General features: G+C 49.0%; 1 protein-coding gene across 3 annotated transcripts, besides 4 other annotated features; it reads right to left on the reverse strand.

Moving 5' to 3' along the window:
- Nucleotides 1,042–25,956, reverse strand: TGFB3 (transforming growth factor beta 3). Of its 3 annotated transcripts, NM_001329939.2 has the most exons (8): nt 25,738–25,956; nt 23,487–24,704; nt 14,500–14,663; nt 14,071–14,200; nt 8,533–8,640; nt 6,261–6,432; nt 3,868–4,021; nt 1,042–2,290 (listed from the first exon to the last, which is right to left on the reverse strand). In NM_001329939.2, the coding sequence occupies exons 2-8, from the start codon at nt 23,836–23,838 to the stop codon at nt 2,132–2,134; spliced, it is 1,239 nt and encodes a 412-aa protein (NP_001316868.1). In that variant the 5' UTR covers nt 23,839–24,704; nt 25,738–25,956; the 3' UTR covers nt 1,042–2,131. The 3 variants fall into 3 exon arrangements, with proteins under 3 accessions (NP_001316868.1, NP_003230.1, NP_001316867.1); NM_003239.5 differs by lacking the exon at nt 25,738–25,956 and having other exon boundaries at nt 23,487–24,940; NM_001329938.2 differs by lacking the exons at nt 1,042–2,290; nt 3,868–4,021; nt 25,738–25,956 and having other exon boundaries at nt 6,006–6,432; nt 23,487–24,940.
- Nucleotides 3,322–3,371: a silencer, noted in NCBI's record as "silent region_5952". NCBI's record gives its function as "represses an Ori minimal core promoter by ATAC-STARR-seq in GM12878 lymphoblastoid cells {active_cell/tissue: GM12878}" and the evidence as "EXISTENCE:reporter gene assay evidence [ECO:0000049][PMID:35858748]".
- Nucleotides 25,245–25,484: a silencer, noted in NCBI's record as "silent region_5953". NCBI's record gives its function as "represses an Ori minimal core promoter by ATAC-STARR-seq in GM12878 lymphoblastoid cells {active_cell/tissue: GM12878}" and the evidence as "EXISTENCE:reporter gene assay evidence [ECO:0000049][PMID:35858748]".
- Nucleotides 25,515–25,574: an enhancer, noted in NCBI's record as "active region_8764". NCBI's record gives its function as "activates an Ori minimal core promoter by ATAC-STARR-seq in GM12878 lymphoblastoid cells {active_cell/tissue: GM12878}" and the evidence as "EXISTENCE:reporter gene assay evidence [ECO:0000049][PMID:35858748]".
- Nucleotides 25,615–25,734: a silencer, noted in NCBI's record as "silent region_5954". NCBI's record gives its function as "represses an Ori minimal core promoter by ATAC-STARR-seq in GM12878 lymphoblastoid cells {active_cell/tissue: GM12878}" and the evidence as "EXISTENCE:reporter gene assay evidence [ECO:0000049][PMID:35858748]".

Genomic DNA, 26,996 nt, shown 5'->3' on the forward strand with positions numbered 1-26,996 from the left:
ACTGATGCTGGGACAGCAGCAGCCCGTGGCTGATGTGCTGAGCTTACTGCATCCCCTCTCTGTGCCCCCGGGCTCCCTGGAGCAAGATGGAGTATAATCCCGCCAGCCAGGATTTTAGGACAGGGACATAGCCCTCCGAACGATGGTGGAAGTCAGTGGGTGCCACATGGGATGAAGACTGAGAGGGAAACCCTTAGAATTGGCTGGGCGTGGACAAAGCGGGGAAAAAAGTACTGACCAAACTCACTTCAGTCTTGGAGAACTCAAGGAACAAGGGACACACATACGTACACACACACACAGGCATGAACACATCAGACACATCCTTCAGCCTGCATACTTTAGCTTCAGATAGACTTTTCTTTTACTAGAGGCAAAGTGATCTCACTAGAAGAATGTGTTTCTCAGGAGCTGCTAGATGGCCTGTCGCTCTGTGCCCGCTCACTGTGGACGGCTGCCCCACGTGGATGTCCATACCACAGTGGGATCCACGGCCTCACTCAAAAGAGAGCTATGGTTCCCAGATCCCTGACAAGAGGGCCACAATCTGAAAAGGGGTTCCTGGTTAGCTCTTTTAGGCTTAGCCTGAGAACAGAATTAGCCTCATATTTTTAGGCCATTTGCCATACACATTTTCTCTCATTCTCAACTGATACGGGTGGGGGGAGATTTTCGAAAACAGTGATGTTGGTAATTTATAGTTAGTAAATAAACCATGTTTCCATATGCAAGGATTCACACCAGGGGATCCTGCCCACAGGTATCTGGAGGTCAAATTCGTATGTGCTTTCTGCCAATCTGAGCCACTGCCTCTGTGTCTCTGAGAATAATATACTCTGCAAGAAGGAAAGACGCACAAGCAATAGTGCAGTCTTCTTAGCAGGCGGAAGTCAGCACGGTGTGCCCCCTGTGTAAGGGGAGTTGCGCTAAGCAATGTGTTTGGTGATTGACAGATTCTCTGCCCCAGATTCTGGTTACCTCTGATTAGTAGATGCGGACATGGAATTAAGGGTAATTGAAGGATATTTATCGAGTCAGACATACACCTTAGAATAAGGCTTTTACTGTTCTAGAAACAATATTCCAGAAGATGAAATCATCCAGGATGCCCCAAAAATATTTATTTATACAAAGATTTTGAGAGTAATATTCATACTTGTCTTTATACCTCAGTCTATGCGTCTGGGGCCAAGTCACTGTGTGGCACATGTGCAGCTTCCCCGAATGCCTCACATGTTGTAGCACCTGCTTCCAGGAACACCAAATGAACACAGGGTCTTGGAGGGGAAGTGGGGGAAGAACCCATAATGCCCCAAGGCTGCATGGAACCACAATCCAGAAATGTGCATCCTGACCTGGAAGGCGTCTAACCAAGTGTCCAAGGGGAAATATGATCGAGGGAGAGGTGAGAGGAGGGACCCAGAGGGCAGACAGGAGAGGGTTGATTTCCACCCTTTCTTCTGCGTTCAGCATATCCAAAAGGCCCAATACAGTTGATGGGCCAGGAACTGCATGACCTGGATTTTCTCCCTGTAGTGACCCACGATGTTAATTGATGTAGAGGACAGTTTGCAAAAGTAATAGATTTGCCCTTAATCCCAGACAGTATGAGATACAATTCTGGGACTTTGTCTTCGTAACCTGTCTTTAAAAAAAAAAAAAAAATGCTTGCCTTGTATAACATAATCCAGATTCCCTAGAGCAGATGTGGTACAGCAATGAGCAAATCCAACCTCAGATCTGAAGTGTCTTCCAGTCTGGCCCTGACCCAGCCATTCTCTGCCCTTCCTTCTCCCTTTAGGGTAGCCCAAATCCCATTGCCACACAACATCTCAACTTACCATCCCTTTCCTCTATCCCCATCCCCTCTGTCTGCGTCACAGAAAGTCTGTGTGTTCTGAAGAGTTCAGCCTTCCTCTAACCAAACCCACACTTTCTTTACCACCGTGATTCTCAGAGCCAGCAAGAAAGAAATGTTCCAAAAGGAAACCTCCATCTCAGCCATTTGCCCGGAGCCGAAGGTTGTGGGCTCCAGGCCTCTCAGTGAGGTTTGTTGCTTGTGTGTTTCCCGAGGAGCGGGCAGTCAGGCAGTGGTGGTTCTCTCTCCCCTCTCTCTGTCGCACGTGGGGTCTCAGCTACATTTACAAGACTTCACCACCATGTTGGAGAGCTGCTCCACTTTGGGGGTCCTCCCAACATAGTACAGGATGGTCAGGGGCTCCAGGTCCTGGGGCACGCAGCAAGGCGAGGCAGATGCTTCAGGGTTCAGAGTGTTGTACAGTCCCAGCACCTGGGAAGGGACATGTCAGTGAGAGGTTGGAAGGCCAAGTCTCAGGCCTGGAACCCAGGAAGTCGCCCAGTTCCAGGGGCAGTCCCAGAAGCTGAGCAAGTGCTAGAATGGCCACGGGTGCTCTTTAAGAGGAACTGTTGGGGGCCGGGTGCAGTGGCTCACAGCTGTAGTCCCAGGACTTGGGAGGCAGAGGCAGGCAGATCACTTCAGGTCAGGAGTTTGAGACCAGCCTGGCCAGCATGGTGAAACCCCATCTCTACTAAAAATACAAAAAAATTAGCTGGCTGTGGTGGCAGGCGCCTGTAATCCCAGCTACTTGGGAGGCTGAGGTGGGAGGATCACCTGAATCCAGGAAGCAGAGGTTGCAGTAAGCAGAAATAGTGCCACCGCACTCCAGCCTGAGCCACAGAGTGAGTCTGTCTCAAAAAAAAGAAAAAAAAAAAAACTGTTGGAACCTGGTTTGGGTGAGTGAGTAGTTGTGTAGTTGCTGTTCATCCACAATGACAGAAGCAGAACAACTGCACTTGTTTGGGGTGATGAGTTGAAGCATATGACAGTTACTACACTGATAACGAATTATCTTGGCTTTTTTTTTTTTTTTTTTTTTTTTTTTTTGAGTCAGAGTCTCACTCTTTCACCCAGGCTGAAGTGCAGTGGTGCAATCTTGGCTCACTGCAACTTCCGCCTCCTGGGTTCAAGCGATTCTCCTGCCTCAGCCTCCCAAGTAGCTGGGATTACAAGCGCGTGCCACCACACCCGGCTAATTTTTTACATTTTTGGTAGAGACAGGGTTTCACCATGTTGGCCAGGCTGGTCTCGAACTCCTGACCTTGTGATCCACCCGCCTTGGCCTCCCAGAGTGCTGGGATTACAGGCGTGAGCCACCGTGCCCGGCCTATCTTGGCTTTTAAGAAAACACTTACATTGCTCTTCCTAGCTGGAACTGATCACTTCGGTGAGAAATGTTCTCACAAAACATTGCCTTGAGCCATTTAGTAAGTGCAGCGTGCAGGGCCCCAGACAGGATGCAGAAACAATGAGCTAGAAGGAAACATGCTTCACAAATTACTGCCCTATTTTTGATTCCCCTCAAGGGAAAGACAGACTAGTTTCAGGGGTTGTGGACTCTCGGCTATCTCACTTTCTGTTCCTAGCATTTCAAATTAGCTTCTTGTCCATCCTTGTTGTTGTCTTTCAGAGTAAGTTTTCTACATTCGAGAGGCTGGAATGATCAGAGTTCTGATAGAAGCCTTTCTACTTCAGTGTTCCTTGCCAGCCACATGCACATATCTCTGACATAGGGTAACACGTGGCAGTTAATTAATTTCTACGGTACAGAGAGCTTTGGACAAAGCAAATTAAAAAGCTGGTTGAAACTATGGTAGGAATTTAAAAGGGCAGAATGTGACTGAGTAGAACTGAGTCAGGGTGCCAAGATCAGAACCTTCACCAGAGGAATTTTACTCACCCCAGACCATCATTTGCTCACTCAACATTCAATCCTTCACTCATTCTTTTTAACAAGTGGTCTGGTCGGTCAGCCCCAGTGCCTCAGATGGCATGAGCCTGCTCCATACCGTGCTGTGGGTTGTGTCTGCACTGCGGAGGTATGGGCAAGGGCCTGAGCAGAAGTTGGCATAGTAGCCCTTAGGTTCATGGACCCACTTCCAGCCCAGATCCTGTCGGAAGTCAATGTAGAGGGGGCGCACACAGCAGTTCTCCTCCAAGTTGCTACAACAAAAAACATTTATAGAAAATCAACTTAAAACCACCAATAAAAGAAACTTCATGAATGCTCTCATATTCTCCCTTGGAGTCCTTTCATGCCATCATAGGTGGCTCTGATCAATGGAATCCCAGGTTCAAGGGCATGGGGCAGAAGAAACCAGAAAGGCACATTCATGTGTTAAAGACCAGGATCCCAAGGATGTAAGAAACAGAGATAAATGCTGCATGAGGAAGAGTAAAGAGGCAAAGGTGGCCCTGCACCCTTTTCTATCACAATACAAAGCAGTGCTATGAAGCGCTCCACATAAAACCAAGCACTGAATGTTATTAGCCAACTCAGCTTTGTTGAGGTTGGTTTTATTTTTACCCTCCTAATGTGCACCCAGACAGAAATCAATTCTAAGTTTATGCAGCTTGACTACTATAGTAGGTGACTGCTGAGACTCAATCCAAAGGCCATTTAGCCAAATAAGGCATATCCTTCTATTAGAACCGTGGTTCAACAGATCACCCAAATGTGATTATCAGGCCCCTTCAATTCTGTTGCCTACAGAGATCATTTGGCAATAATACCGCTTGCCAAGTGGACAGCTAGCCTCTGCTTTAATATCTGCTGAGACTTAGAACTTGCTACTTCCAAAGGCAGCTATTAGCCAAAATCTGGCTTCTTGTGGGTTCCAAGGGTGAACCATGGCAGACACCATTGGTTATCTATTCAATAACCATTCCTAACTCCCTTCTCCCTTGTGACATCCCATTACAGAGTCGAAAACACCAGATGCTCCTTTTCCTGTCCTCCCTTGAGAGTAGCGGTGGTCATGTGACCCAGTAATGACCCATCAGACAAGGAGAAGTATGCAGGGGGTAAGGGCAAGTTCTGGCAAAGATATTCGATTATTTATAAAAGTGACAGATGGAAGAAGAAAGCTTCTGGCTCTTCCCCTTCCCTCATTCCTTCTTGTCTTAAATGTGGACAAGGTGCCTGAAGCCCTAGCAATCACTTGTGACCATAAGGAAAAGGATGAAAAGCCAACATACTAAGCATGGCAGACTGGAAAGAGAGAAAGCCTGAGTCTTCGGTGGCATCATTAAGCAGCCAGCCCACCCTAACCCTGCTGCTACAGGCCTCTTGTGAACAAGAAATCACTATGATTAAAGTCACTGGCCAAGATCATTCGTTCCTAACTGATTCGTTCCTAACTGATAACTGATTCGTTCCTAACTGATTTGTTCCTAACTGATGGAATAAATAAATCTACATGCCAGCCTTTGTGGCAACTACCTTGCCTCTCCTATACCTTGCTGTTGAGCTGTTCCCCCAACTGAACATCCCTAGTTTCCCAAGCCCAACCATCCTCATAAGACATGGTTTCCAGATCTAAATATTTCCCAATTCGTTCTCCCCAGCTTCATTTCGGCATCCTCTGAGGCCAGATGGACTCACTCACTCATGCTCCTTCCTTTACCTGCAGTGCTTCCCCTCCTGGATCCCTTCATCCCCAAACCTCATCCTTGAAGCCTCTGCTCAAATTCCACACCCTTCTGAAGCCTTTCCTGTGTCCATAGGTGAACTCATTGCTCCCAGTTAAAGCACTTAATCCTTCGGACCCTCTCATGGGCGTGATCATCTTCTCCCTTTTAGTAGTTGGCATGCATACTTTATCCTCCCTTTATAAATGAGCAGTGAAACTGCTCCTGAGTAAGAGAAGCTGGGTCTTTTCTATCTCTCTATTGTGGCTACCCAGTAATTTCTGAATTCATTTGTTAATTTCTCTAGCTCCAACTTTCCGTTCAAATGGAGACCATTCTATTTGCCTCCATCCAGTAGCATCCTTGGACCCTTCATAGGGAACTAACTGAGCACTTCTTTAATGGAAACTCCTACATTAATCTCACACATACACTCTACAAGTGCTTAAAACATGGAAATCATGGAGAGGCTTTGACCAAGCCTCTCCAATCCAAACTATTTTAGCAACACTCCTCCTCACAGAGTTTTCCTCATTTACTTCAGCCAGCTCCTTCCAGAGTTAGCCTATGGAAAAACAGTGGGACTCCCAGGAAAACAGAAAGAGATTTCACAGAGAAAATCTCTGTGAGAGATTTTCAGTCTTCTTCCTGGAGATGTTTGTGAATAGCATCAGGGACCCTCTGTTGAGTGTGGCTTGGCTCTGGGGCCTGACCTAGCCATTGGGCAGTAGGCAGGCAGTAGATGTTGGTTCCCATGTGGGCCCAGTCTCACCGGAAGCAGTAATTGGTGTCCAAAGCCCGCTTCTTCCTCTGACCCCCCTGGCCCGGGTTGTCGAGCCGGTGTGGGGGAATCATCATGAGGATTAGATGAGGGTTGTGGTGATCCTTCTGCTTCTTGAGGCGCCCCAGATCTCCACGGCCATGGTCATCCTCATTGTCCACGCCTGAAGAAGGGAAGGAAAGTGACAATCTCCTGTCTGAAGAGAGCAGAGCCCTTGGAGGCTGCCTCCTCCACACGCCCCATCACTGCCCAGGAGGAGGGGCAGTGCAGTCTGCGAGGGAGGTGTGGGGGACAAGTGCAGCTTAATTCTGATGTCCAGGTGCAGAAAGGGGAAGAGCAGATGGAGAAGCCAGTATCAAAAGAACTCATTATTATTGTAAGGATGCCCACTGAAAGATGCCCCGTGTTCAGATCCCCATACCCTTGTATAGAAATCTTCCAAGGGGCAGAAAGCCCTTGCTGAGATTCCTAGGAATCTTCATGGACCTATGAAGCATCCCTGTTACTAAGTGGGTACCTAACACATATCTCCGGGTTGTCGGCTTGTTTATTTGTTTGTTTGTTTGTTTTGAGACAGAGTCTCGCTCTGTTGGCCAGGCTGGAGTGCAGTGGCCCCATCTTGGCTCACTGCAACCTCTGCCTCCGGGGTTCAAGAGATTCTCCTGCCTCAGCCTCCCAAGTAGCTGGGATTACAGGTGCATGCCACCATGCCCAGCTATTTTTGTATTTTTAGTAGAGACAGGGTTTCACCATGTTGGCCAGGCTGGTCTCGAACTCCTGACCTCAAGTGATCCGCCCACCTCGGCCTCCCAGAGTGCTAAGATTACAGGTGTGAGCCACTGCACCCAGCCCTGGATTGTCACTTTAGATTCTAGACTTAGAATCTTGGGGTGTGAGTTTCCTCTTAAAATGTGAATGGACCAAGATAACGCAGAAGTCCTACCAAAAATTTAAGGTGTCACAACTTAAGATAGCCTGAATGGGAGCCAAAGAAACAAGACTGTATAATTGTTAACATTCACATTGCACTTAGAGTCTTTGAAGTGTTTTCACTATAAAATTCAGATGAGATAATGAAGCATATGATAAATAGCAAATAAGCTCTGGAAAGAAAATCTAAATTCATCAACCCGTTTCATCTGAAAAAAAAGGAAAAGACTGGAGACTGACTTAGAAAGAGTCTCAACTAAATGGAGATCGATTTTGCGAAGGACAGCTGCCAACTGTTGTCCATCCTCACTGAGGACAGGAACATGAGGAATTAATTTACATAGCTACAGGAGTGGCTCGGGTCTCAGGAAGGGGCACCAGATCTGTAAGATAAATGAGAGACCTGGATCACAAATCCCTTTTTCTGAAAATCTTTATGAACAAGATAAGTATTCACTGAAATGGGAAGGTTTCATCCTAAGCTGGCCTGTAGGTAAGGACTCCAAAGGTCCTCTGGGCTCTAAGGTTCTGTGGTTACAGTGTCAAATCTTTGGCTTTAAGAAAAGGCTGTAAAATAGAGCCCATGTGGGGTAAGATCACTGTCCAGCGCTGAGCCAAAAGAGGCCTGCACCTTTTCCCAGACAAGCCTCTGACCTCAGGCGTTCCGCAGTTACCCAAAATGGGAATATGAAAGGAAAAGAGAACTTCCCTGAACTCCAGAGATCATCAAGGCTGAGTTCCTTGCAAACATAATGGAAAACCAGAAATGACTCTCAACGACTTCGCCATCTCTACCCAAACACCCCGGGGACAAACACCCTGAGGCTCGAAGCAATCATCCAAACCCAGAGGACCCCTGGGCAAGGTCAGGTAGGCCCTGCACATCTGGAAAGCTCAGTTGTCTGGGCACTCATGTTCAGGACAGCCAAACTTAATTTCTTTTAGGGAGGAGGAAGACAAGTCCTATCTGTTGAGCATTTCTGGCACTGTGTTCCTTATTCATTATCTCATTTAATTGCCTGACAACACTGTGAAAGAGGAACTCTCATCCCATTTCACTAGGACCAGAGGCTAGATGGCTTGCCTACACAGTTTCACCACTTACCAGTACGTGTTGTCTTCCAGAGGCTAATGCATTCTCTAAGCTATAAACTGAAAGTTACACTCATTGCTTTTGGGGCAAAGCAGAATTACTCAAGTACAAAATAGTCGGCTATCTCTCTGAAGGAGCTTGGTTTCTTTTCTTGAGGTCTGGTAAGGGTCTCCTGCACTATCCTGTCCCATTAACTTCCCCCCCACTCACCCATCCTACCATACACATTCATTTTGTTACCTTTGAATTTGATTTCCATCACCTCGTGAATGTTTTCCAGGATATCTCCATTGGGCTGAAAGGTGTGACATGGACAGTGAATGCTGATTTCTAGACCTAAGTTGGACTCTGCAAAATAAGACAGAATTAGTGAGAAAAGCACCTCTGTGTGATGGGGAAGTGTGCCCACCACCCATGCAAGGGTGAGCCAGGGCCTCTGCTCCTATAGGGACTCATAGGAACTGAGTTCTATTGAGGGTCACAGGAGACAGAAAGTGCCTCCAGAGCTCAGAGTGGACCTTCAAGCGCACGTTGCCACATTCCAGGTATTCCTGTTGTATTATGAATCACCAAATGGGGGCATACACTAGTGGCCATCATGAAACAGAAGTGGAATAATCATTCCCTTTGAAAGGATGGTATTAAGAGAAAATTGTCACCTACCTACTTGGAGGCAAAAGTACACAGATACAGTAAGGAAAGCAAAAACTCATGCCATCTACATGGTTTTTGGGAGAGGGGATCGTTGAGCCAATCTACTGCAGAAGGATCAGGGCAAGAGGCAGAGGGACTGGAAGAGACTACGGACAGGGAGTAACTAAAGAGTCTCCGAGCACAGAGACTGTGATTCAAAAGGCCACAAATTCAAAAAGCCACAGGATGTAATGCTGGCAAAAAGATTCAAGTCAGGAACCAATGCTAGAGGCAAGGTCACTTGCAAACAGGAAGCAGAATCCGTCTCAGTGGAAGATGCAAGCATTTCTACCAGGGCCATGACTGTGGGCCTAGACAAAGTGGCAGATTCTAGAAGAGATAAGATGAAGATCACGGTTACACTGGGCCATATTTTTCCTAAGGAACAAGGACACAACGAGGTAAAAATTACTTGGACATTTCTTCTTTGGGAATCCTTGTTCACCATGATGGGAAGTTGGAATGTGGATTGCTCACCAAGATGAACAGCTTGGGAAGACAGTTGTGAACTTAGAAAACAGCACAGAGGAGATGATAGAGAACTATGGCTGAGGGTCCAGATGACTTGAGCACGGAGACAGTGAGCATGATGAAGCCTGGAGGTGCCAGGGTTTGGTGCCTGACATTCTGGTGCGTGAAGGGCAACTCCAGCCCATTCGCCTAGTAGTTGTGGGATCACATGTTTTGGCAACCAAAATCAAGGAAGCAGGAACTCAGTAAATGAGGTTGAGTGAAGTGAAGGAAAAAGAAAGAAAATGAAAAGTCTGCACTGAGACAAGTAGTTTTACACAGAAAACCAGGTAGGATCTGGTATCATGTCAATTCTGGTGGGTAAGACTTAATTTGGGAAGCTCTGTTGATCCTGGGATAGCAGCCAGTTGTGGCCAGGTGTAGGAGAGGTCATGGGGGATGGACCTCTCTGGATTCAGGGTCAGCCTCTCGATGAGTTGATTGATTTGCTGCTCCCTGAGGCCACACACCATGTGTGTGAGCATCTGGCCTTGGAGACAACCTGGAGTCTTCCTGAAATTGTGCCATCAGGGCAAACCCCAAAAAGTCCAACCTGGCCCAGCAACCTTCTCATAGACAGAAGGATACAAGCCTACAAGACTGGAGATTCCCATCAACATTAGGTTGGCTTGGACATCCCAGTCCTACTGGTTAAAACCCAGCTCCTTTCTTCCATAAACTCCAGAGCCTAACCAGATCTGCTCTACCCTAAGTCAGGGCAACCTCTGAGGCACACTGCGCCTGCTGAGCTTGAAGATCTCTGTTCCAGCAGGTTCGCTCAGTGAGGGAAGGCAGACCAATAAAACAAGGCAGCTGAGACCCAGCTGGAGGAGAAGTGAATGGAGAGGGAGGTATGAGGATTGCCCTCTCCCTGGGTTAAGGCAGCTGGAAGGAGGAGCCAAAGTAGCTGAAATGGGCTACCTAACAACACAGTGTACCTCCTGGTCAAGCTGGTTCAAGGCAGGCTGGAAGAGACCTGGAGTGAGTGAGTTCCATGATTCTGTGAGTTAGAAAGTCAAGGTGCAGACAGCTGTGTTGGGGAGAGTGAGGGTCCAGGATGTAAGCACAAGAGGGTGGCCTGGCTTGGCCAACAGGCTGTATCCAGATAGAGGACTTAGAGATGATGACAACAATCACTAACTTATTCTATCTCTATAATAATCCCATAGAGCAAGAACTATTATCCCCCATTGTACAGATAAGAACACTGAGGCTTAGGGAGATTAAACAGCTTGCCCAAGATATCCAACCAGTGGATAGTAGTGCCAGGATTCAAGCACTGACAGCTTGATGCCAGATCCCAAACTCTTGTTAGAGACAAGGAGGGGTAAAGAGGGGGCAACAGAGACCACCAAGGAAGATGCCCACACATTCACCAACATGCAAGATGGTTGTTTCCCAGTGTCCCACCTTTCCTGAGCCATGATGCTGAGAGGCTCCCTCCCCAGCCTACTAGGGGAGGCCTGGCCCTGCCTAGCTAGGTGCTGCAGACTATATGAGCAATAGCACAAGGGTATGAGACCTGGGTCCCCAGCGGCCCTTGTGGACTCCAACCCACTCTGCGACCCAGAATGCAGCCTGGGTACCTGGTGCACAAGGGCTCTCAGATGTTTGCTGAATGAATCCAAGACCACATGTGTGACTCAGTTTTCTCATCAATCTACACCGCCAACTGCTCCAATTTGGAGTCCTTTGTTGCCTGGTTTGAAGCCATGAACTCTGAAGAGACTCATGGGCTCTCTGTAAGTACAAACCTGTGTGATGATTCCCCTGTGGGAAAGGTGGGCAGTATCTGCCTAAGTGTGAACTGAAGGTTCCAATGAAGAACTAACCTCAGAATTGGCAGCTGTGGGGGTGGTGGGTGGGGGACCCATAGGTTTTATTACGAAATTATCTTTTTGATGTCTCAGGAGGATGGAAATCATTCTCAATGCAAACTTCTCATTGAGTTCTGCAGCTGTGAAAATAAGAACTCCTTCAAGTGCCCAGGGCTTCAAAGAAATCCAGGTGGAGCTGATCAAAATCAGACAGGGAAGTTAAGAGATTAATTTCCCCAGCCCCTCCTTTCTGTAGCCGTCTGAGTCAGAATTCCCAACAGAGCTGCTGTCGGCAGATCCACGTGGGTTCTCCTAGGCTCTTGCCTTCATGCTCAGTAGGAGGGACAGGATGAAATTCCTGGGTACCCTTGGGACTGGGGCAGGATCTTCAGCCCACCATCTGCCAACTCAGCCACTGGATAATTCCCCTTGGATGGGGAATTTTCTCATTTATGTGACTTGCCTGGGCTCCGTGGCATCAAGCAATGCAAACTCGATGGCTACCGAGCCCAGGCAGGTCACGTAAGTGAGAAAATCGAGCCAGCACATGATGCTAAACAGGAACTGCCAGCCTCACTCTTGGGGAACAATAGGGAATGGTGGGGGCTGCGGGGACTGAGGATGCATACCCCATCTCAAGGGGTGGCCGGTACTCATCTCTGACGGATGGTTATCAGGAAATCTTTCGATTTTTCAAAAACAGCAAGAAGTCCAGGTTTTATGTGAAATCTCCTGACTTAAAACACCCAAAACTGTTGATGACTAGTCAAATCGAAAACAATGTGCAGGCCAAATAGTTTGTAAGCTCTGCCTTTGAGCTTTAACTCTTAGTTGCCTAAAACACCAAGGACTTAGAAGGATCCACCTGCCTCAGGGACTCTGGGCATCAATATGTGGATGGTCTGTGGCTTTATAGCAGCTGATGACAGGAGAAAACCTTGCCCAAGAGGAAGAGAAGGAACAGATGGGACTGCCATCTGTGACCCCAACCCACTGAGCATCAGACCAGGCAGTACCAGCCAAGAAAAGGGAAAGAAACACAGAGGATGGTGTCATGAGACACCAAAGTTCTAATCCAGACTGGACGACCTCGGTCAAGTCACTTAACTTCTCTCGGCCTGTTTCCTTATCTAAAATAAGAAAAGCTTACTCTTGTAAAACATGGTAAAAACCATGAAGTTCTCTCAAATACATTTGATCCTTAAAACAGCTCTGTGAGGCATACATAGAGGAGGAACCATTGCCTGATTTTCCAGGTGAAGGCAGTGTGTGGGTAAGATATTTGGGACATGTGAAGTTTGATATGCCTCCAGGATAGCTCTACTTGCATGACGACCCGGCCTTTTAAACTTAACTGGGCAGAACAGAACCTGTTCTTCTCCTAGGCCCCCTATTTCAATAAGTGATACCACCTGGATGTCGAAAAAATTTAGAAGTTATCTGGAATGCTCTTGTGTCCTCACATCCCATACCTAATCAGCCTGTGCTACTGGCTACCTTCAAAATACAGAACAAATCCATCTGATCGTCATATCCACTGCTACCGCCCTAGTCTCGGCCTAGATATTGCTCTCATCTGGGCTGCCGCCGTGGCTCCTAACTCATTTTCCTGCCTCTTCCCTTGACCTCCTGGAAACTAGAGGGATCTTTTAAAGATGTCAATCAAATCACCTCACCCAGCCCCTCCTCCCTGTAGCTGTCTGAGTCAGAATTCCCAACAGAGCTGCCGTTGGCAGATCCACGTGGGTTCTCCTAGGCTCTTGACTTCACACCCAGTAGAGGGACAGGAAGGAATTCCTGGGTATCTTGAGTATCCCCAGCTCTGGTTATAGCACTCCCACACTTCTCATCACACCTGGAATAAGTCCTGAAACCTCGCCATGACCTGATGATGTTCTAAATTAAATTGGCTGGGCATGCTGGCTCACATCTATAATCCCAGCACTTTTGGAAGCCAAAGTGGGCGGATCACTTGAGGTCAGGAGTTCGAGACCAGCCTGGCCAACATGGTGAAACCCCATCTTTACTAAAAATACAAAAAAATTAGCCAGGTGTGGCAGCGTGCACCTGTAGTCCCAGCTATTCAGGAGACTGAGACGTGAGAATCGCTTGAACCCAGATGGTGGAGGTGCAGTGAGCAGAGATCGCACCACTGCACTCCAGCTTAGGCAACAGAGCGAGACTCAGTCTCAAGAAATAATAATAATAATAATAATAATAATAATAATAATAATAATAATAGTAATAATAAATTATATGGCCCCAGCAACCTCCCTGACCACCTCCCCTCCTCTTCCCCTCCCCAGCTCACCATGCTCCAGCCACACCGATCTGTTTGCTGCTGCTGCTAGAACAAATCAAGCTTATTTCCACTTGAGGGCCTGGGCCTCCCTGTTGCCTTTGCTTAGCACATCCCTTATTCTGATCTTCATGGGCTAAATCCTTATCATTCAGATGTCAATGCATGAATTTCTTCATCATAGAGACCTTCCCTGTTGGACTCCACCCACTCATTGTCACATTGCCCTCTTTCTATTTCTCATAGTTCCTATCCCTGTGGCTGCATCCCCAGGGCCTGTCTTACAGTGAGCATTTAATAAACATTAGTTGAGTGAATGAATGGAGGATACTCAGTGGCAAAGCTAGGGTTTGAACCCAGATCTCTGACTCCCTTAATTCTGTCCTCTTCCCTCCATTTCATGGAGGACTAAGGGACCTGAGGTTCATTCTGAAATGCTTATCTGAAGGGTCCACCTACCTCTTCTCAACAGCCACTCACGCACAGTGTCAGTGACATCAAAGGACAGCCACTCGGCAGTGCCCCGTGTGGGCAGATTCTTGCCACCGATATAGCGCTGTTTGGCAATGTGCTCATCTGGCCGAAGGATCTACAGGGCAGAGAAAGGAGTGAGTACCCGAGACCAGGACAGAGTGCCCCAGAAGATGTCACAATGCAGAGCACAGGTGAGGGAGCGATAGGAAACCAGTGGTTCCTGAATGCCATGGCCCTCGAGCACCTTAGCTAACTCTTAAGTGTTTTAATGACAGACACAGATACGGAAACGAAGGCTCAGAGAAGCCAGGATTCAAACCCAGGTCTGCCAAACGCTGCACCCAGTGGTGCCCTGATATGGCAAAGGAACCAGCTTTCCCGTCGGTGTGGTTTCTGCTCTGAGAGAGGAGTTACCTGGAAGAGCTCGATCCTCTGCTCATTCCGCTTAGAGCTGGGGTTGGGCACCCGCAAGACCCGGAATTCTGCTCGGAATAGGTTGGTTCTATTTTTCTCCACTGAGGACACATTGAAGCGGAAAACCTTGGAGGTAATTCCTTTAGGGCAGACAGCCAGTTCGTCTAGGAGATAAAGCAGAGCAGAGGGCACAGCATGAGCGAGACATGCAGGAACAGTGTGCTGCCAACGGACAGGCACCAAGTGGCCACCGTCCCGCCTGCCACCTCCCTAGAGGCTTGAGGCCTCAGACCGCAAGGTGGAGATACGAGGAAGATTCTTGGTGGCCCTAGAATCACACACAGTCCTGAGCAAGGAGCAGTGTGGCCTCAGAGCTCCACAACATGGCACTAGACTGGCCAGTCAAATCTAATTGCCCCCTCCTCCCACTGCCTTGACATCTCAGTTCTGGTAAGTTTTCCAACCCGTTTTTCCTACTTTTTGAGAAAATACTGATTCTAGAAAGATATCAGCACCTAGTAGTTTACATATCTTACAGCTAGTTGATTTATTCGTGTGTTTGTTCATCTGGGCATTCATTCATTTATCAAAGATGTATTGAGCAGCTACTATATGCCAAGCATAGTGCTAACCTTGGGAAGCAAAACATGAGTAGACACAACCCCTGCCTTCAAGGGGATTAAAACCCATTTATGCCTGGTGTTCCATTATTGGAACGCTAAGCATGTAAGAGTTATTTATATCCTGCTGCTCAAGGTCAAGGCCAAGGTCTGATTTCAAAATTCAAAAAAGTGCAGCCTCAGGCTTATGGGTTAATATCTAAGGGGGGGTATTAATACATGGGCCCAAATAACAGGACTAGAGAGAAATAATAGGACAGAGTGCCCCGGAAGATGTCACAATGCAGGAGCACAGGTGAGGGGAGCGACAGGAAACCAGTGGTTTTCAGAGAAGTCCAGGAGTTGCTGCAGGAAATCAAAGGAGGGAAATGGCAAGGAGCACTTCACGGAAGGGGTGAAAATTGAGAGGATTTGAGGATGGGGAGGAAAGAAATGTTACATGGAGTGACTGCTGGAAGCAAAGGCAGGGAGGGGAGGAAATGCAAATGAGTAAGAGGGGCCCGAAACAGCAGGTGGGAGCCAGGTGAGAAAGGGCAAGATGATAGATTGGGGTCCACCTGTCAGACTAAAAGGTTAAATTTTAACCCATTAACAGTAGGGAGTCACTGAAAGTGTTTGAGCAGTGCAGTGACATCTCAACCTTGTGTTTTAGACCCAATAAAGCAGGGCTTATATAGCAAAGAGCCCACATCATGAGCCTGGCAGAAACACAGATGCTTCCTCTGACCAAGCTGGTGTGTCACCATTGGCTCCTTTCTCTTTCCTTGACAGCACGTGCTATGCCAGACGCTGTCACCTGCTGGCCTCTTCATCCCTGTCCACAAGATGTGGGCAGCGAATGCTCTTTCCCACCCCTCTGAGCCAGAGAAAGAGAAAGAGCCTGTCTTTTCTCTGCTCCTGTACACTTGACAGCCTCAAGGTCTGAGCAGTATTAACACCCAGAGAAAAACTTTCTGCACAAATGGTAACAATAGCCCGAAGTTGAAATTCAAGCTCATAGACCCAGATTCCACACATAATGGACATGGCTGGAATGAGCTTATAATCACCCCGAGGGGTTGTTGAGGAAGTCACAGACAAGGCAGGAAGGATCAGAGGCCTGGAAACAAGCAAATGCGCTACTGATCTTCAGGAAAGGATGAGTGAGTGTTTCTGGAAATTGCCATCTGGTGGGCCTGACGCTGGTTCTTAGAAAATTAATGGAACAGATGTTAGGAAAACAAATGTGTGAATGCTGTCTAATGAAGCCCTGATTAATAATTGGCTTTGAAAGAACAGATACTGCCAACGATTCCCTAAACCATTTCAGATAGAACCAAGGAGAGAAATCAGTGATAGTTAAGTAATGTGTAAGTTTACAAGTTTGTAATACTCTGAATGTGGATAAGCTACTTGCATTGGCAACCCTATCAAGGACAACAGAGCTGGGTTTTGAAGGAGCTGTTATTGATATGGCTTCAGTTACAATAGCACCTGCTGGGAGGATCACTTGAGCTCGGGAGGTCCAGATTGCAGTGAGCCAGGATTGTGCCACTGCACTCCAGCCTGGGCAACAGAGGGAGACTCTGTTTCAAGTAAATAAATAAATTAATAAAGTAAATAAATAACACAGCTCCAGTGACTACAAGAGGAATAAAGGGTAAGTCAGTGCAACATGCACCTTGCTGTAAAAAGAAGGGAGATGGGGCCGGGCACGGTGGCTCACGCCTGTAATCCCAGCACTTCGGGAAGCCGAGGTGGGCAGATCACGACATCAGGAGTTTGAGACCAGCCTGACCAACATGGTGAAACCCTGTCTCTACTAAAAATATGAAAATTAGCCAGGCCTGGTGGTGCGTGCCTGTAATCCCAGCTACTGAGGAGGTTGAGGCAGGAGAATCGCTTGAACCCAGGAGGCAGAGGTTGCAATGAGCTGAGGTGGTGCCATTGCACTCCAACCTGGGCAACAGAGTGAGACTCCATCTCAGAAAAAAAAGAAGGGAGATGGAAAATGGCACTTGCTGGTGAGACAGTCAGAGTGGGTCAAGGCAGTGGGAAGCCAGGAGATGGGGAAAGTTATGAGCTAAGAGAGTTCTCAGGACACCCTAGTGGCCGTCCTCTTTGGTTTCTTCCAGCCTATCAATCATAATCTGCTCCCCAGGATGAACACATCCTGGGGAGAATTTTAAGGTTTCAAGAAAGAGGTGGGAAAGGTCATTTTTCTATTACTGGGATATATAGATTTCCCATGATTAGAAGGGACATCAGGAGTCATGTGGCGCAACCCTCTTCAGAGGAAGAAATGGCTGTCTAGAGGGTCTTGGCCAGAGTCACTCAGAAGTTAGCTGACACAAGCAACTTGACACTAGCAAGCAAAGCTTAGGACACAATTGCTAGTGATTAAAAAAGAATTGGCACCTGGGCAACAAGGTGAAACCCCGTCTCTACTAAAAATACAAAAATTAGCCAGGCATGATGGTGCATGCTTGTAATCCTAGCTATTCAGGAGGCTGAGGCAGGAGAGTCACTTGAACCTGGGAGGTCGAGGTTGCAGTGAGCTGAGATTGTGTCACTGCACTCCAGCCTGGGCAACAGAGTGAGACTCCATCTCAAAAAAAAAAAAAAAAAGAAGAAGAAGAAGAAGAATTGGCAGCCAGGCATGGTGGCTCACGCCTGTAATCCCAGCCAGCACCTTGGGAGGCTGAGGTGGGTGGATTGCTTGAGCTCAGGTGTTTGAGACCAGCCTGGCCAACATGGTGAAACCCCATCTCTATAAAAAATACGAAAATTAGCTGGGCATGGTAGCACATGTCTGTTATTTCAGCTACTCGGGAGGCTGAGGCGGGAGGATTGCTTGAGCCCAGGAGTTCAAGATCAGCCTGGACAACATAGGGAGGACCTATCCCTATTATTTAAAATTAAAAATTTTAAAGGCCGAGAACAGTGGCTCATGCCTGTAATCCCAGCACTTTGGGAGGCCGAGGCAGGTGGATCACTGGAGGTCAGGAGTTCGAGACCAGCCTGGCCAACATGGCAAAACCCCATCTCTACTCCAAATACAAAAATTAGCTGGGTGTGGTGGTGGGCACCTGTAACCCCAGCTACTCGGGAGGCTGAGGCATGAGAATCACTTGAACCCAGAAGGCAGAAGCTACAGTGAGCCGAGATTGCACCAGTGCACTCCAGGCTGGGTGACAGAGTGAGACTCTGTCAAAAAAATTAAAATTAAAATTAATTAAAAAAAAGAATTGCCTGGGAGATCAAAGAAAATGTACATACAATCTTCTTGACAATCAAATTCACTGAATAATGATGTTTTAAGTAATCTGTGGAATGAATCATCGTATACATAAATAAGCAAAATGTAATAGCACCACCTTGTTTTGTCGAGTTTTTATTACTTCATGTGACCTTCTAACAACCCCTGAGAAGAATGAAAACATGTAAAATTTATCACTTGACAAATGAGAAAACTGAGCCTCAAAAAGTTAAATGTCTTTCCCAAGGTCACATAACTAGAAGGTGGTGGAGGTGGGGTTTGAACCCAGGTCTTCTGAACATACCTCATTTATTGAAGCAGAGACTCTTCAAGCTGGGAGGGATCTGGGAGATCATCTGGTGAAGATGGTTTCATCAACAAAATATGGCAAGATTCCACTAAATGGGCCTAGAGTGTCAACCTATGCCTCAGACAATGACCCACTGCAAACGAGTTTGTGGTTCTTAAGCCATGCCTCACAGAACACTAGTATTATTGAGAGCTGGACTAGGGGGTCCCACCTTTACAAATTAAATCTTGAGCAACTTTTTCCATTGCACAGAAAAAATATATATTGGTGAATGCCATTTTCTCTATTTTGTTTAACGGGGCAAAACATAAGCAAAGAATATTCATGTACAGTATGCATGGAAAAACCAGGAAATAGCTGACCATGTTTAGTTAACTGCCTTTTAAAATGTGTTCAGACACCTGGGTGGCTAGGTGTGCCTTTGCTTGTATATATCATTTCTGCTGGTTCTAGTGAAGGGACTATATTTATCAGTGTGGCTGTACTTCTCTACCCTGGCTGCACATTAGAATCACCTGGAAAGCTTTAAAAACAAATGATTCCTGGACCCATTCCCCAGCAGTTCTGACTACACTGGAGTGAGTGGGGTCCACGGCATATTTTTTTCAAGATCTCCAGATGATTCTAACGTGCAGCCAGGGTTGAGAACCACAGATTATAATGTGTTGCAAAGGGCACCATGGCTTCTAGATGTTCTGGAAGTTTGAGAAACCACTGCTTTAATGGTGTGAGCTTTCTATTGATTAACCGTTAAATGAATTAGACATGTTGTTTCGCTGATGGAACACCTTTAAAAATTTTGAGTTAGAAGCCCATAAACATTTTAAGCCCATGTTAAAAATTGGAACACTTCACAGAAAGATCCAGATTTTCTGCTTTTCTGGGACACGGGAAGAACTAATCAAGCTGGACCCACAGTCCTCAATGCAAAACCCAGCAAGAACTGAGGCTGGCTGCTGCTTTGGCTGGGCACGTGGGCTCCAGGTCCCCTCCCTCTCCCTGTCTCACACACCCTACTTTCTTCTTGACCCCAAGACCAAGTGTCCTGGTGCAGTTTATCATGACGCCGTGGCTTTTCTTCCAGATCATTTGCATTTCCTGCCGGGTCTCTGTAGGCACTTGTGTTTGCCATCCCTCTAAGAAAAGTTTCGCCCTAGTTCACTGACTCTTAAGCTTCAATGTGCTTAAGAATCCATAAGGAGCTTGTCGAAAATACAGGTTCCCCAAGACTCCACCCCCTCAAGATTCTGATTCTATAAGGGTGGGTGGGACCAGGGAATCTACATTTACCTCCAGCTTCCTCTGGACCACACTTGGAGAAGTGCTGACCTCTACTGTGCAGAGGGCATTGGCCCTTGGAGCAAATGATTTTCAGAATAATTCTCAGAATAAACAAAATCTACACTTAGCAGCTAGAGAACAAAGACTAAAATATAGAGTTTTCTCTTTGCTGAGAAACTCTGGGTTTGCTGGTTGTCTTAGCGCTGCCCTTGGCTGAAAACAACAAGTCTCCGAACAGAGACAGATAATTACAAGCCAGAAGATAAAATGACACCTACATTGGTGATACCTTTGTAAGAGGGATGACAACGGAAGTAAAAAAGCTGTGTCCTTTCCCATCACATGGGGTCAGAGAAACTCTCTACTCCCTCCCGACAGTAAAATCCTGGAGAATTAGAAAAAGGATTACAGAGTCTTGCCCATACTCCCCAATAGAGGCTCTGCTGATTCATCCCAGATGGAATTATAAAATTCTTTCAGCTGAAAAGGAGTTTGGAAATCATCTCTAACTTTACAGCTGGGGAAACTGAGGCTCAGAGAGGTCACTTTTACGTAGCTGCGGTTGCTTAACCTGCTTGAGACTCTTCATTAAATAAAGAAAACTCCTTCATTAAATTAGGGAGAACATTTGTGGCAGTATGAATCTCCCGGGCAAAAAAAAAAAAAAAAAAATGCAGAGCTAAGGAAGAACAAATCCAGTTATCATTGTGCAATCTGCCACCTGGGTTACTAAGATAATAACTCTGACCTCTCCTGCTTGGTCCAACACATGATTCATTTATGTTATAAATCAAAGTTCTACTGAACCCTAAAGGTTAAAGGAGGTTAAAGGTAACACTTACAACGTGTATTTTACATATAAATGAGTGCTTAACTACATGCGTCCTGCACACAGAATGTCTAGGTTAGGGTCCCTGCTCTTTTTGGACAAATTACTTAAGCAATCCAGGTCTCAGTTTCCTTATCTGTAAAACAGGGAGAAAAGGTTATTTAGGAAAAGGCCTTCCTCTCTGCTCTCACCTTGGTGCCCTTTCTCCTGCACTACTAAAAAGTATTTCCTCTTTCATTTTCCTCTCCAGGGACCTCTATCTCCTTGCCCTGGCTCCTACTGTCACTTTCCTTTGAATGCATGTTCACTGGGTCAGGGAAGTGGCCAGAAGTGAGGAAATATGGAACAGAACGTGATCTCATGACCTCCCAGCAGAGGCTCTGGCATTGAGACCCTGCTGTGCCCCACCACAGACCTGGTGTCACCCCTGTCTGCCCTCATGAGTTAAAGACAGGCTTCCTTCCCCCACCCCGCCCCGCCGCCTTGCAAGCCCCTGATGATGGCTCTCTGCTCCTGCTCAGCACCTGCCCACTGCCTTCTTTATAGTTAGTGTGCCTTGTGTGTCTGCCTCTCTGGGGTGGGCTCAGCACCCGACCAGCTGCAGGGCGGGCCCAGGTCCGTCTGCTCAGCCTCCAAGTCACCTCCAACAGCTGCAGAGTCTGCCTGCTTCCGGTTTGTACCTGTGAGCCTCATAGCATCGCACGTTGGCTCCTCCCCAGCATCCTGAACAGCATCCTGCTCACTGTGCTGGGTTGCCCCAGGCCAGACCATTGCTCCATAACCCCACATCCACCCATCTGTTGCAGTTGTAAGGTCTTGGTACTGCAGCCTGGAAGCTGCCCAGCATCTATGGGGCCCTGCCCGGGCTTTTCCCAAGGACATCTGCTATTTGTGCTTTGAGTCTGCACAAAATCAGTGTCCACTTGCACCTGCATGGCCTTGCCTCCACGTGGCTCATTCATTCTCAGCTCAGGATTCCGGGATGGGGGGGTCCTGGTGACTCAGAATGCTTCCTCCCTTGGACTCCTCCTGCTGACCCAGACCATGAAGGTCTGAGTCCTGCCCTCTTGCCCTGGACTCTCCTCACACCTCTCCTGCCGGCCTCAGATTTCGACCTTCCTCTGATGCTTGTGGTCACTATCTCCCGCGTTGGTGGGTTCCCAGGGAGTTGGAGCCTTGGCCATCGAGCTGCTAGGTGCCTCTGGGAACTGTGGGTCTCTGAGCCAGCCCCACCCAGAGACCCTGGGCAGGGAGTAGTAGCTCTGCATCGGCCTCCAGCCTCCGCCCCACATGGCAGCCACATCCTGAAGAAAGGCGCTCCAGGCAGCCACAGGAAGCTGGAGCGGGAACCCCTCGCCAGTAACCACAGGCTCCTCTGCCTGGCGTGGAGCCGTGAACGGGGCCTTTGCACCTCCAGCCAGAGCTGGTCCACCCATCGGTACCCACTCCTGTTCCTTCTCTCCAGCCAGGTTCCTTTCACCCCTTGCTGTGTGCTCTGCTGACCACCCTCCCCTGCCTGCCAGCTCCATCCCATGCCCTCCACCCCACTCCAGGAGCTGCCCACCTCCCAGGTGGGCCTGGGCTGAGGTAGTCAGGGCGGCGAGGACACCTGCTGGTAGGAAAAGCAAACAGAGCTGCTCCCGGAGTCTACGGCCCACGAGTGGCTCACATTCCTCTTTCCTGGGCTGTCAGTTTCTCAACATCTGCCAAATTTCTCTCTCTTGTATTGAGGTTTTTAAAATCCCCTTCAGTAAACACATATGACTTCCACACGTGTACCAACACACACAGACATCTCGCCCAGAAGCCGCCCGGCTCCTCCATGCAGACAGAGCCTCCTGGGACGGCAGGCTCCCAGACATATCCCCCCCCCCCACCATGCACCCACTGCCACCCCTCCACCCGCTCTCCCGTGACACGCAGACACAAAGGGCGCCAGCCTCCTCTACGCATCCACAGCCAAAACCCGCTCTCCCCGTGCCCACCGGCCTGGAGGGCGCCCATTTTGAGCACATGAATCTGTCTACTGCACAAGACTGCATGTCACCCTAAAGTACACGGCCCTGGGAACATTCGTGCATACCCTCTTCCTTCCACACACACAGCTCACGTGGGTCTCGTGGGTCACGTGGGTGGGGTAGACCAAAGGGCCCAGGCAGCAAGAAGCTGTCTCCTGCCTGGGCTTCAAAAAGCTTGACAGACATTAATTTGGGGCAGGTATTCTTCTTCCCAAGAACTGGAAAAACTGAAACGGAGACGTGTCACAATGAGTTGTGAAAAGCAGGGAGAAGATGAGGTCTCCACACTGAGAACCGTAAGGGCTCCTGACAGAGCCGGCCTTCCCCTTTATGGCACCCAGATGCTTACAGTTACTGATACGATCGCATGTGCAAGAATACATATGTTTCCCTGGACAGCACAATGTAATTCCAAATTAAAATCAGTCAAGGATGTGATGTGAATTCAGCAAGCCACTCAGCTCCAGGGCTCCTGGCCTCCCAGAAGCGCCGGCTCTTAACAGAATGGCTCTATCTCCTTCCCCACCCACCTCCCCAGCCCCAACGGAGGAGCATCGCACATCCTGAGCCTTGGTGCTGGTGAATCCTGGGGCACCCTGCTGTGTGGCCAGCACTAGGCCCCCCTCTGCAGAGCTCCCAGCTCCAGTTCAGACCCTCCAGAGCAGACACCCCAGCGAGAATTTGGACTTACTGTGCTCCGCCAGCCCCTGGATCATGTCGAATTTATGGATTTCTTTGGCATAGTATTCCGACTCGGTGTTTTCCTGGGTGCAGCCTTCCTCCCTCTCCCCATGCATCTCCTCCAGCAGCTCCCGGGTGCTGTTGTAAAGGGCCAGGACCTGATAGGGGACGTGGGTCATCACCGTTGGCTCAGGGGGGCTGGTGAGCCTGAGCTTGCTCAAGATCTGTCCCCTAATGGCTTCCACCCTCTTCTTCTTGATGTGGCCGAAGTCCAAGGTGGTGCAAGTGGACAGAGAGAGGCTGACCGTGGCAAAGTTCAGCAGGGCCAGGACCACCAGAGCCCTTTGCAAGTGCATCTTCATGTGTGAGCTGGGAAGAGAGGCCAGGGGGACGGCAAGGCCTGGAGAGGAAGAGACCCCAGCAGACGTGCAGAAGGAGGGAGGAAAACCAGGCGGCCTCCCCAGATCCCAAAGACTGAGGCTTGGCAAGAAGGTGCATGAACTCACTGCACTGCGAGAGCTTCAGGACTTCCAGGAAGCGCTGGCAACCCTGAGGACGAAGAAGCGGACTGTGTGCCTTGTAGCGCTGGGATTCTTGTCCATGTGTCTAAACAGGTTTTGCTGGGCTCTGACTCCCAGCAGGCCAGGTGGAGGGCAAGCAGAGGGCTGGGAGGGGTGGCAAGGCAGCTGGGAGTGGGAAGGGAGCTGGAGTTTTTCCTTAGGTAAAAATAAATAGAGTGGATATCTGATATTGCCAAACGCCGCTTGGCGATGGGGAGAAAGTGGGTATTTTAAAGAAGAAGCAGAAGGACCATGGCTGGGTCCCAAAATCAAAATCCTTGCCTTGCCTTGAAAGAAAATAAGAAAAGAGAATGGAAAAGAAAAGGGAAAAAAAAGTAAAAAAAAAAAGATCACCAGTGAGTAGGTGGGGAGAAGCAGGGCCGGGCAGTTGCTGGCCCAGCTAAAGGTGGGGGCAGTACAGGACACACTTGTCTCTCAGGCACTCCATTCATGCTTTCTCTTTTGTTTACACTTCCTCGGGGGCTTTCTAAATGACTTTGTTCACGCTGCCTCTCGTCTTCATTGGCTGGGGTGTGGGGTTATATGCATTGGAAGGCAGGGAGGCAGGCCTCTGAGCGCAGCAGCCCCAATCATCCACTCAGACGCCCAGGGTCACCAGCACCTCGGCTTGTCTTCTGCCTCGGCCATTGCTTCTGTCCCCTGCTTCTCTTTAAAAAATAAAAAGGAGAAAAAAATAAAATAAAATAGAAGCCAGTTCACGGCACGCCTGCTCCGGAAAGCTGTTATTCCTTCTCTCGCACGCCTCTTCCCCTGTCTCTGCCTCTCTCGCTCATTCCCTTGGACTTGACTCTCTGCTTCCCTCCCTTTCTCTCTCTCCCTCTCCCTCTCCCTCTCGCTCCTCTCCCTCTCTCTCTCACACACACACACATGCACACACACTGCTTTCTCTATTTCTCTCTGCTGAAATTTTATACCTCCCTCCCATGACGTCTCTGGCCTGGGGTGGGGGAGGGAGGGACCAGCGCACGCAGCCTCTTTTGCTGCACGATGTTAATGTTTTAAACAGGCACAGGAAAAGCCGAGCCCTTTTGAAAAATACTTTGCGAGTCCTCTCGTTCGACGTGGTAGCTGAACTTTTTTTCCCCTCTTGGAATCACTCCTGCCACACGTTGGCTGTTTTTCTGGAAAGTTACTCCGATGAGCCCCCTCCCTCCCTTTCCCCCAGCCCCGGCGCCCTCTCGCCAGCTGTCAGTCCGCGCCGTCCGCGGCCCGCGTCTACTCTCCCTCCTGGTCCCCCGGTCCCGGGGCCGCCCGCGGGCCAGGCCCAACCCGGGGCAGGGTCCGCAGAGGGCGCGGGACCCGGTAGGGGCGGCCATGCCAGCCTCGCAGAGGGGACTCCCAGCCTGCGAGCCGGGTCGGAGGGTCGGCGTCCGCTCCGCGGCGATCCTGGCCCGATTCTTCATTGACAAGATCGGAGTCGGGAGGCGGGCAGAAGCCTGGAGACGCTCCAGGGGCAGTGAAAAATGGTGGCGTTTTCCGGAAGATCGAGGGTGCCCTCTGGCGAGGCGAGGCCGCCAGTGAAGGAGCTCGGCTGGTCGGGAGCCGGGGAGGCTCGGGGGCTGGGGGCTGCGGGGTGGGGGCTGAGGGGCGGGAGAAGGGGCTGCGGTAGAGAGCGAGAAAAACAAGACCCAGGCCCCGAGGAATCGCCTCCCTCCCGGCCCGACGTGCGCACGAGCGCACCTCTCCCTCCCCGACCGCCGCTCCGGAGCCGCTCTCGCAGAAATGTCATCCAGATGTTCAGCCTCCCTCCCCGCCGAGGTCTCCGCAGGGAGCTGCGCCAGCGAGCGCGAAGTCAGCAGTTGGCCCGAGCCCATTTCCCAGATGGGTGAGGGGAAGTCGGCTCTGTGCTTTCGCTCCTCTTCTCGGCCCGAACCTCTAGGCCTTTTCCCACGAGCAGCCAAGGGAGGGTAGGGCACGTGGCTCCCCGCACCCCGCAACACAGGGCTTGCCTCTGAACTGAACTTTCCTGAGAGTGAGTGCCGCTCCCACCCCATCTCACTCCAGCCTTCCTGGACCCTTTCTGAGAGGTCTGGCTTCCAGGCCACTAACTGAAGGGGCTGTTCTCTGTATCCCAGCACAGCGGTGGGTCACTTTACGGATGAGGAAACTGAGGCATAGAGTTTTTTGTTTTTTTTTTTACAGACCACACTGCTTGTGAGTGATGGAGGCGATATTTTACACAGGCTATCTAGCTTGGGTAGGCATTACTTTCATTTGCAAAACCAATGGGAAACCTAGGGGTAGAAACTTTAAAAGTAACTTGCCCAAGGTCACATAGTTATTAGGTGTCAGCTGTTGGGATTTGGACCCAGGACGTTGCCAGATTCTGGACTTAATTACTATGCTATACTGCCTCTGAAATTTCAGAAAAAGTTTAATGTTTACTATATACCAGGCACTATTCTAGGCTCTGTGAAGAATATCAGTGAACGAAACAAAACTCCTGCCCTCAGGGAAATTTTATTTTAGAGGCAGGGGTGGGGCAGTGGAGGAGGCGATAAACTAAATAAATATGTAAATGATGTAGTACGGTAAAAAGTGCTGAGCCAGGTGCAGTGGCTCACGCCTGTAATCCCAGCATTTGGGGAGGCCCATGCAGGAGGATTACTTGAGCTCAGGAATTCGAGACCAGCCCCAGCAACACGGCGAAACCCAGTCTCTACAAAAAAATGGAAAAATTAGCCCGGCATGTTGGCGCAGGCATCTACTTGGGAGGCTGAGGCAGGATAATCACTTGAGCCAGGGAGGCAGAGTTTACAGGGGGCCAAGATTGCACCACTGCACTCCAGCCTGGACGACAGAGCAAGACCGTGTCTCAAACAGACAAGCAAACAAACAAATGTGGTGTGGCAGAAAATCAAGCAGGGAAGGAGGATGGGGTGTGCCTAGGTTGGGGGATGTTGCAGTTTCAAATAGGGTGATAAGGGAAGGCCTTTGAG

Source organism: Homo sapiens, chromosome 14 (genome assembly GCF_000001405.40).
Source record: "Homo sapiens chromosome 14, GRCh38.p14 Primary Assembly".
In the NCBI taxonomy this organism is placed as follows: Eukaryota; Metazoa; Chordata; class Mammalia; order Primates; family Hominidae; genus Homo; species Homo sapiens.